Source organism: Homo sapiens, chromosome 11 (genome assembly GCF_000001405.40).
Source record: "Homo sapiens chromosome 11, GRCh38.p14 Primary Assembly".
Taxonomy (NCBI): domain Eukaryota; kingdom Metazoa; phylum Chordata; class Mammalia; order Primates; family Hominidae; genus Homo; species Homo sapiens.
This window is the reverse complement of record NC_000011.10, coordinates 45,720,912-45,730,762: the sequence shown is the minus strand read 5'-3', so window position 1 is coordinate 45,730,762 and position 9,851 is coordinate 45,720,912. Positions and strand designations below refer to the sequence as shown.

Here is a 9,851-nt window from a genome sequence, read left to right as displayed (position 1 = left end):
TTCTAACAACTTTCTTTCTTTCTTTTTTTTTTTTTTTGAGACAGAATCTCACTTTGTCACCCAGGCTGGAGTGTAGTGGCGCGATCTCAGCTCACTGTGAGCTCCGCCTCCCGGGTTCACGCCATTCTCCTGTCTCAGCCTCCCGAGTAGCTGGGACTACAGGCACCCACCACCATGCCCAGCTAAATTTTTTGTATTTTTAGTAGAGACGGGGTTTCACTGTGTTAGTCAGGATGGTCTTGATCTCCTAACCTCGTGATCTGCCCGCCTTGGCCTCTCAAAGTGCTGGGATTACAGGCTTGAGCCACTGGGCCCGGCCTATTCTAAAAACTTTCTAACTGGGCTCCAGTCTTCATTCTTCTCCCTGCAAACTCATACTCCTCAGATCTGATCATGTTACTCTCTGATCATGTGCTGTCCTGCTCATAAATCCTGGCCAGTACTCCTTTGCCTTGAGGTGAAACCCTGGCCGGTGCTCCTTGACCTTGAGCATGACATAAGAAGCCTTCATGAGCTGGACTTGAGCTTTCCAGGCTCAGCTCTCCCTGATGTCCTATGGATGCTCCAGCTGTCATGAACTACTTGAGTCATACTCTCTCCAAGCTCTGACTTTGTATGAACTGTTCCCAGCCCTAACGTGCTCTGCAACCTCACACCTCTGACCATCAGCTTCCCTGTGTGTCTCACTAATTCCTCTTTGTCCTTGGCCATGACGAGTCTCTCTTCTGTGCTTCCAAAGTACATTGCAGGTGCTTCTCTTGTTACACTTATCCTGAACCATAAACAATGCCTGTTTCTCTTACTAGAGTGTGAGCCACTTGAGGTTAGAGTGTGTGTCTCATATCTGCACCCCTAGCTACTAACACTGTATATGGTGCATGATTCATTTTTCATCCATCCATTCAACAAATATTTGATTGTCTACTAGAGGCCAAGCACTCTTCCAGCATGGGGCTAAGGAACTGTACAAGACAGGTGTACTAGTCATTCTGCTGTTGTATCTCTGCTCCAAATCCCACCTTTTTTTTTTTTTTTTTTTGAGTTGGAGTCTCACTCTGTTGCCCAGGCTGGAGAGCAGTGGCACAGTCTCAGCTCACTGCAACCTCCACATCCTGGATTCAAGTGATTCTCCTGCCTCAGCCTCCCAAGTAGCTGAGATTGCAGGTGTCCACCACCACGCCCGACTAATTTTTGTGTTTTTAGTAGATTTTTACTACTCTCTTTTTATTGGTTTGTTGTCTATCTTCCCTACCTGGAATTTAAGGTCCACAAGCCCATGAAATTTCATCATGTTGGCCAGGCTGGTCTTGAACTCCTGATCTCAAGTGATCTGCCTGCCTTGGCCTCCCAAAGCGCTGGGATTACATGTGTGAGCCACCGCGCCTGGCTCAAATCCCACCTTTTAATGCTCTCTTTGTGATGCTGGGGCTGGTATATCCTTTGACATGGGACTTCCGGTTTTCATTGGCGGTGATACTAGTTGGACACTGGAAGGCAGGCAGAGGAAGCAGGAAACTGATCTTTCCTTTATGCTTCCTCTATGCTTGCCAGGGTTGCCCCAGCAATGGCCCTTCTTCCTCGTGGCAGAAGCTGGCTCTAGTTTCTAGCTCCTTTCAACGCTCCCAGAACCAGCCTCCCTATGCCACCTTAGAGGTGAGTGGCAGCTGGGTGGTGCCCCCTTGGAGGACTGGCTCCTACCTCTGTGGGTTCTTCCTCACAGCACATAGATTCTTTTTTGCTTGTTTGTTTGTTTTTGAGATGGAGTCTCTGTTGCCCAGGCTGGAGTGCAGTGGCACAATCTTGGCTCACTGCAACCTCTGCCTCTGGGTTAAAGTGAGTCTCCTGCCTCAGCCTCCCGAGTAGCTGGGATTATAGGCACCCACCACCACACTCAGCTAATTTTTGTATTTTTAGTAGAGATGGGTTTTTACCATGTTGGTTAGGCTGGTCTTGAACTCCTGACCTCAAGCAATCCTCCCGCCTCAGCCTCCTAAAGTGCTGGGATTACAGGTGTGAGCCACTGTGCCCGGCCCCAGTACATAGATTCTGACAACACACACTACTTCTTGTGGTTATTACCTCTGTCTTACTTCAGTGTTCGTGTTTAGATTTTTCCTCTCCCTCTAATATGTTTTATTGAAAGTAACTTCTTTTATTAAATGACACCTCTGAAATATGTAGTGCAGTTCCTGTTCTCCTGGCTGGACCCTGACTGATGCCATGGGGAAAGCCCTCGGGCTCGTGGACCTTAAATTCCAGGTGAGGAAGGTAGACAACAAACCAATAAAAGAAGGGTAGTAAAAAATGTTACAATGAAAAATTAGACAGGGTAATGGATGGAGCCTGGGCTACTTTAGATTAGTTGGGGAAAGTCTGTCCAAGAAGGTGACATTTAAGCAGAATTGAATTTCCACCCATGTAAAGAGCTGGGGAAAGATGCCCCAGGGACAGAGACCAGTCAGTGCAAAGGCCTTATGATTTGAATGGGCTTGGATTCAAGGATCAGAAGGAGCGCTGGCATGGGCAGAGTGGGGTGAGGGATGGGAGCTGCAGAGGAGGGTGACTGAAAGGCAGGCAGGGGCTAGATCACATGGGCCTCCTTTGCCAAGGATTAGTTTCTCTTTTTTGTTTTTTTTAGAAATTCTGAATGTGTTGAAAAGGCTTTAGAGGGATTTAAAATATAGGAAATAACAAGGTCTGACTTAAATTTACAAAAGATCTCTCTAGCAGCTGATGGGCGACAGTCTATAGGGAGCAAGAGCAGAAGATCTATTCTCCTCAGGGCAGACAATAGGCACCTTTCAAGGACGAGGCAAGTAAGGCCCAGAGAGCTGACAAGATCTGTCCTAGCTCACTCCATTTTGTACTTTTGGTTCCCAGACCAGTGGCCCTTTGTGGCTACACATTCTCTAACTGAGGCACAACTGACCAGGCTCCAGGTGAAGCTTCTCGGCCTGGTATGCAGAGAAGACGAAGCCCTTGGGGCAGCCCAGCACCCACCCTTGACAATACTCCTGCTTCATTACAGGTCCTGTTGTGCCCAACTCATGATTTATCCAGGTCACACCAGTCTGGTCTGTCACAGTAAGAGGTGGGTGAGCCTTGAAAGAAAACAAGGCTCCGTGGGGGTTTCTGTAGATGTTGCTGTGAATTCATAAGTCCCAAAATTTGCATTATTCTCCTTTTTTCTTCCCCAACATGTAGTCCATCACCAAATCCTTCTGCCTTTCCAAACATTTGCTGACTCTGGCCCCTTTTCTTCAGGGCCACCAGGAAACACACCTTCAGGAAGCACCTTTTCTGTTCTATCCCAAAGGGCACCATCACATACACTATAATATGAATCATGACCCCCGGAGTTGTGTGGAGTTTCTGCATCTCTCCCTCCCCACTGTGGCTACCCTCATCCAGCAACCATCCTGTCTCTCACCGGTATTACCGCAGCTGAGACCCAGGTCTTAAGGAAGCTGAGACCCAGGCCAGCAGGGGCCTCACAGGTAGAATGAAGGTGATGCTGGTGGGATTTGGGGCTTACCTTGAATAGGCAGTAGGGACATTCTGAGTAGAAGGGAGGGGTCACTTTGTAAGTAGAGGTAGGAGAAAGAGAAGAATCTTTTTATATGCTTCAGGCAACAGGTTTTTGCTTTATTGAAATAACCCTTCCTCCTGCAAATTTTGGGGATGGGGGAAATGGCTGGATGGGTCCTGGGAGTGCTGCTGAGGTGATCTCAGGTCAGAAATTTTTCTCCACAGCTTGGAAAAAGAGGAGGGTGTAAGACTCTGGATGAAGCTGAGAGATCCTTCCATGCTTGGCTGAGAGACTACACAGACATGAGCTTCAGGAGACTCCAAAGCCTCGGATCCCCTTCTAAACTAGCACTGAATTCTGATTGGCTGTCTTTGCCTGCCTCAGTTTGTTCCTTTTACTGATTGGCTAGGTTCTTCTGCCCATGGCAGAGCCCTGCTCCAGCCACCGGATCCTCCCACCTGCCACAGTGTCACCTGGGATTGGCTGGGCTCTGAAAGGCCAGGCTGGCTTGACTCTTGCCATCATCAGATTCTTCCTCATTAAACAAATGAATCACAATCCTAATTAATTTGAGCAACAGAATTTATGTAACTACTCCCAGCAGGATGTCTGCTCTCAGTCAGCAGAGAGATTACTTCCTCTCTCTGGGAAATTCCAGCCTTGCTGGTCAATAAGCCTTAATGATGACTGAAATCTCCCATCTGTCTCTGCTCAGGGCAGGTAACCCCTACTAAGCAGACACCCAGTTGGCTCGAGGCAGTACCCCGGGCACCGGCAGGACAAGGACAACGATCTCCCAGCCTAGATGTGTCCTGAGCCACATGGAGCACACAGTAGGTGTTTACTTAAGGACAGGGGCTGCCCCTTCCAGGGAAGTTCTGAACCACTTAAAACCCACAGGAAGTGTTCAATGTCTACTTATGGAATAAATGAAAGGGAGGATGTGTCACTCAGATACTTATAAAATGGTCTCAAGATCCTAAACTCCAAGCAAGCTTCTCCAGCTCTTTCCAGCCTTTGCTCCCCCTATTTCCCATGACCATAACCCAATTCTGTCTTTTTCCTATTTTGAACTTTCCAGACTCAGAAATTTGGCTCTTCATGTTCCCTGCCCTTGAACCGTCCCAGCCCTCTCTCCAAAACAGGCTTCATGCTGGCTGCATGGGAGGGAGGGGTAGCAAAGTGGAAAGTGTTACAGAATTAGTGCTAATTCTGGCTTTGTCACTTACTCATTGTACTTCACCTCTCTGTTCTTAACTTTTCTCTCATACATAAACCACACGGGGTTCTTGGGAAGATTAAATAAGAAAACATGGTGAAAATGTATTGCACAGTACTTGACTCATTTAATTGGTGACAGACAGTGTTTTAGGTAATGGAGATACAGTGGTGCTCAAGGCAGGCAAGATTCCTGCTCCCAAAGAATTTAATTTCCAGGAGACAAGAAGCAAGCTAGCAAATGTATAAGATAATAGTTAGGGAACAGTACTCAGCAAAAATAAAAAATGTATGGAGAGGGACTGAGGGGAGTGAGGAACTCTTTGAGGAGGTGCCACTCTGAGACCCAAATGACAAGAAGGAATTAACCACATGACATTCTAGAAAGAGGGAAAAGAGTTGCTGTTAAGAAGATGTGGGTGTGTTAAAAAAAAATTGCAAAGTCCCTTAGGTACGATTGAGCTGCTAATGATCAATCTGAGGCTTCTGCTCTGTGTCTTATAGGTAAACGGGGTAAGGTTTGGTAGGACTGAAAAATTCATCCAGCCACCTATCTAGGGGGTGTGAGGGTCAAGATGTGGACCCAGGTCTTCTGCCCTTAAGAGCAGAGTGCTTGTCACTACAGCACAAAGAAGGTGCAAGAGAAAGGAAAAGTGAGTGGGAGGCGGTGAGGGAGGAACAGACTGCCTTGTCCTCCACCAGATCTAAATCTGTCTCCTCCTGATGGTTGGCAGGATTACAGGATCTGACTCCCATTTGGGCCTTCCACCTCCGCTGGCCTAAGCAGTCAAGTGTCAGAGAGCACTGGACCTAACAGCTCCCTCACCAGAGCAGCTGTGATTCCTTCTTCATTTCCAGCAGGGAAGACCCAACAACTTTTATAATATGGGATTTCTTTTATTCTCATGATAATAATGTTCATTGTGGAAAATAAAAAAAAATGATAAAATAAAAATCAGCCAGAATTCCAACTTCTGGAGATTTTGGTGTCTTTCTGCAAAGTTCCTATGCACATAGATACTTTATAAAATTATGAACATACTGTACATACAGTTTTGGAATATGCCTTTTTCCTTCTGTCATGAAAAAGTCTTCAAATGCCTTTTAACAGCTACACAATAGTTCACTACATGAACCAACTCAAATGTAACTATTTTTGGCCTTTTGTTATAAATAACACAAGAACCCTCAGTCTTTGTTACATAATGTCCTAACAGAGTAGGGGAAATGCTCCCCAATCCGGTGCAATGTCCTGTGCCCAGGGAAACCAATTTTTTAAAATTTTTATTTTAAGACGGAGTTTCACTCTTGTCGCCCAGGCTGGAGTGCAGTGGCGCAATCTCAGCTTACTGCAACCTCCGCCTCCTGGGTTCAAGCGAGTCTCCTGCCTCAGCCTCCCGGGTAGCTGGGATGTAATTTGATGCTACATTCTGAAACAATACACATATTTTAGACGCATGAATATTTTTTAACAATATTTTTATTAAATGATAAATTGCCAGGGAGGCAAGGGGGCCAGGATCAAGCCCTGGTCTCAGTATGCCAGAGTCTAAGGTGACTATGTTTGGTTTCTGCAGGGGCCTGCCATGGAGGCAGGCATGGGAGGGAGGAGTCAGTGGTTCTAATCATTGGAGGGTGTTGGGGGTGGAGTCAGGGTAACCCATCTGTAGTAGGCCTGGAGAAAAAAACCTGGCAGCTGGGGCGTGACTGGGAAAGCACTTGGGGACCTGGGTGGGGGCCAACATTCATTTGCACTGCGGCTGGGAGGGTGGTCTGCCTTCTGTGGGTGGTGCTCAGGTTAAAGCTCCTCCCTGGGACCACTACCGTCACCATATCTCTAGTTTCCTGCTTGGCCTGGAAAAAAGAAATCAAACCAGAGAGAGAGAAGGGCACAGGAAAAGAGAAAAAGAGAACAGTGTGAAAGTGAGAAAAAAGAGACAGAAGGTAAAAGAAGTCAGTGCAGGGAGGCAGGTGCTTTGACAAGTGGAATCTTTTTGGTGGATATTTAAGCAGCAAGAGACACTTTTGGTCCTGGACAAGCTTATTGCACATCCACAGTTGATGAGCTCTCAAGGGCCAATGACAAGTATTCAGATACCCAGTGGGTCAGGGAAATGGCATTTGCCAACTCTACTGACTACAGACCCTGACTCTAAACTGATTTGGTGCCCTCTTTCTGCAAATCAATTTCTCAAACTTTCTGGTAGCTGGTTATTTCTCAGTGGAGCAGACGATGAACTAGTGCTAGGGAACAGGTCTTCTTTCAGGCCCCCGGAAATTCTCAGGCGGGAGTGAAAAGTGGAAAAAATTTCGCTGGCCTGGGCTAGAGTCAGGAGGTGGGAGGAGGGAAGGGCTGGGGAGAAAGAATATGGGGAAAAGGAAAGGAGAGAGGAGGAGGCGTGGGTATGAGTGAAAGAGTTCCGCCCTCCTTACCCATGCTCACCTCTTGCTGCCAAACAATTATACTGTCTTCTTTTCAGGCTGCAGGAAATGGTGTTCTGGTATTCATTGGAAAAGCCCAACAGTCATTGTCAGCTTCTGAGGCATATGAATGGGGTACAGGGGGGAGGCCCTGGTGTTAGTTGGGAAAACCGAGGGCAGCAAATGCAGGGGCCTCACTCTTACTATGGGAACACATCTCCGTTCAACTTGGTGAGAAGAGAATCAAAGTTTCCAAAGGACCTTTTATCAGGAAACTACAGGAAAGAATCAAAACAACCAGTAAGTGGGGTTAAAGGGCATTCTTCAGTCTCAGTAGCTTTTTCCTCTCCGCCTAACCCTGTGTGAGTGGACAGTGGACCAAAACGCTTCCTCTATTATTATTATTTTTTTAAGACAGGGTCTCACTGTGTCGCCCAGGCTGGAGTGCAGTGGTGCAATCTCGGCTCACTGCAGCTCCACCTCCCAGGTTCAAGTGATTCTCATGCCTCAGCCTCCCAAGTAGCCAAGTAGCTGGGATTACAGGTGCCTGCTATGACGCCTGACTAATTTTTGTATTTTTAGTAGAGATGGGGTCTCGTCATATTGGCCAGGCTGGTCTCGAACTCCTGTCCTCAAGTGATCTGCCCGCCTCGGCCTCCCAAAGTGCTGAAATTACAGGCATGAGCCTCCACGCTCGGCCATCCTCTATCTTTTGAGTTCACACTCCGAGGCCCTTCTGGTAAGCAACCACTTCCCCTCACCCTCCAAGCTCTCCCTTTGGCCGAAGGGCATCTCTCCTCCCTTCCTTTTGAGCATCCTCCTGGCTCTGGATCCTGGAAGTGCTTCTCTACTCTGGTGCTTTCCCTGACGTTCACAATTAACTAGCCCGTGACGCAGGGCGTCTTCCAAAATATCCAAAAGCAAAGGAGTCAACAGATCATGGGGAATCAACCCTTTCTTTATGAAAAGGCAACTGAGCACCAGGATGAGGAAGAGACTCGCCCAGGGTCACAGAGTGAGGGAATGATAGGCATGGGGGCAGAATACAGCCAGTGCAGCCTACCTAACACTACTACTATTAATAGAACCCATTAGTAGCTGCTAAGCCTTTTCCGCTTCCCCGTCCAAGGCTCTAACCTGCGTGTGGGTGTAGGCTGACGCTACCGTCCCCTCCCCATTCCCCCTGCCTGTGATGCCCAGGCCCTAGCGGTGAGACCAGCAGGTGTGGGCATCAGGAACTTCTCCATTGGCTCAAATAGCTGGGAGCGATTGGCCTGTCCTCCAACCTCCGTTTGTGTCAGGGGGTGCTGCTCATTGGCCTAGCAGAAGTGATTGACAGGTCAGTAGCCCAGTGAATGATGAGCCTTGGAAGCGTGATGGCAGTTACCAGTCAATTCTCGCTTTGCGAGATCCTGGGGTAACGGTTTTATTCTTTTCCGAAGTAGATTCAGCCATTTTTCACACTCAAAATCCAGGGTCTTCTCAGTAAAGGGTGTAAAGAAATTTCCAAAGAAGGAATGCGTTTGGGGCTCTAAAAGTACAAACGAACCCTTCAGGAGAAATGAGAGTGTCATATTGAATGAATCATTTTATAAAGGGGGTTTTGCTTTGCTAAACAGTTGGTGGGCAAGTGAGTGGGCAGGAGGGAGGGGAAAGGTGGCCGGGAATGGGGACAGAGGAGTCACGCAGCAGAAGGCTGGAGTCAAAAATGCTTATTGCAGCTTTTGTAACCTGTGTGAAATGCCGTGGCCATTCTTGGGGTCTGGATAGGTTCTGGGACCTGGGGGAAAGGATGGGGTCACTTCAGGGGACTCTTAAGGTCCAGGAATCGGGGGCTAACTGGCAGTGGGGTGATGAGGCAGTGGTTGTGGTAAGAGCTGGCTTGGATGGTGAAAAGGGTAGCCTGGACCATGAGACAATTCCTGAGAGTAGCTAGTGATGGTCCGAGCATAGAGATGGGGTGGCCTATCCTTGAAGGGTCTAGTCACATAAGATGGGGCCTCTGGAAGAATGACAGTGGATTACCCCATAACTGGTTAGAAGATGGAGTTGGAGATAAAGAGAGATGAGACAGGGAGTTGAGAGATGGAAAGTTTGACAAAGGAAAGAGAGAGTGCCACAGGGACTGAGAGCTGGAGTCCCAGAAAAGCTGAGCAAACCACGCTTGGTACATAGTTGTCACTCAGTAAGTGCTAGCTATTATTATTGCTCCCTTTGGAAGGGTAGGGGAGGGGTCGTTCAAGTCTAGTAGTTCAAAGGCAGTTGGAGGAAGTGAGTGGAGAAGTAAAAGAGTGCCAGGAAAATAGTCCATTCTACTTGTCCGCTTCTCTCCCCCCGTGATTATGAGAGCTGCAGAAACCACTCCTCCATTGGGTGAATGAGAGGGAAGAATTGAACTAAAGAGAGAGGGTGCTGGTATGTTCTGCAGCTGGAAACCCAAAGGATGGGAAGTAGGCATGGGGAGAGGCTGCCCTTCCAAGTGTCTTCAATAGAGCCTGTTAGAAGTGAGGTGAAAGAGAGGGGAACAGGTGAGAAGTAGAATGGGTTGTGGCATGGTTAGGCCCTGGGTGAACCATGTATGATATACATAACAGTTGTCATGATTGCTGGGGTGGGGTCATGGGGAGGAGCCCCCCTAGTTGTCTCTCCTAAGAAAAGGGAATGGTGGTGAGATTCAAGACTC

General features: G+C 47.9%; 2 long non-coding RNA genes across 2 annotated transcripts; one reads left to right on the top strand and one right to left on the bottom strand.

The window, feature by feature from the left end:
* Positions 1 to 1,972: 1,972 nt before the first annotated feature.
* LOC124902667 (uncharacterized) lies at positions 1,973 to 5,718 on the top strand. Its single transcript, XR_007062663.1, has 2 exons — positions 1,973 to 4,362; positions 5,482 to 5,718. It is a non-coding gene; the product is annotated as an uncharacterized LOC124902667 (long non-coding RNA).
* Positions 5,719 to 6,207: 489 nt separating this feature from the next.
* On the bottom strand, positions 6,208 to 8,455 carry LOC100507384 (uncharacterized). Its single transcript, NR_047569.3, has 3 exons — positions 8,306 to 8,455; positions 7,191 to 7,285; positions 6,208 to 6,601 (listed from the first exon to the last, which is right to left on the bottom strand). It is a non-coding gene; the product is annotated as an uncharacterized LOC100507384 (long non-coding RNA).
* Between the last annotated feature and the right edge of the window lie 1,396 nt (positions 8,456 to 9,851).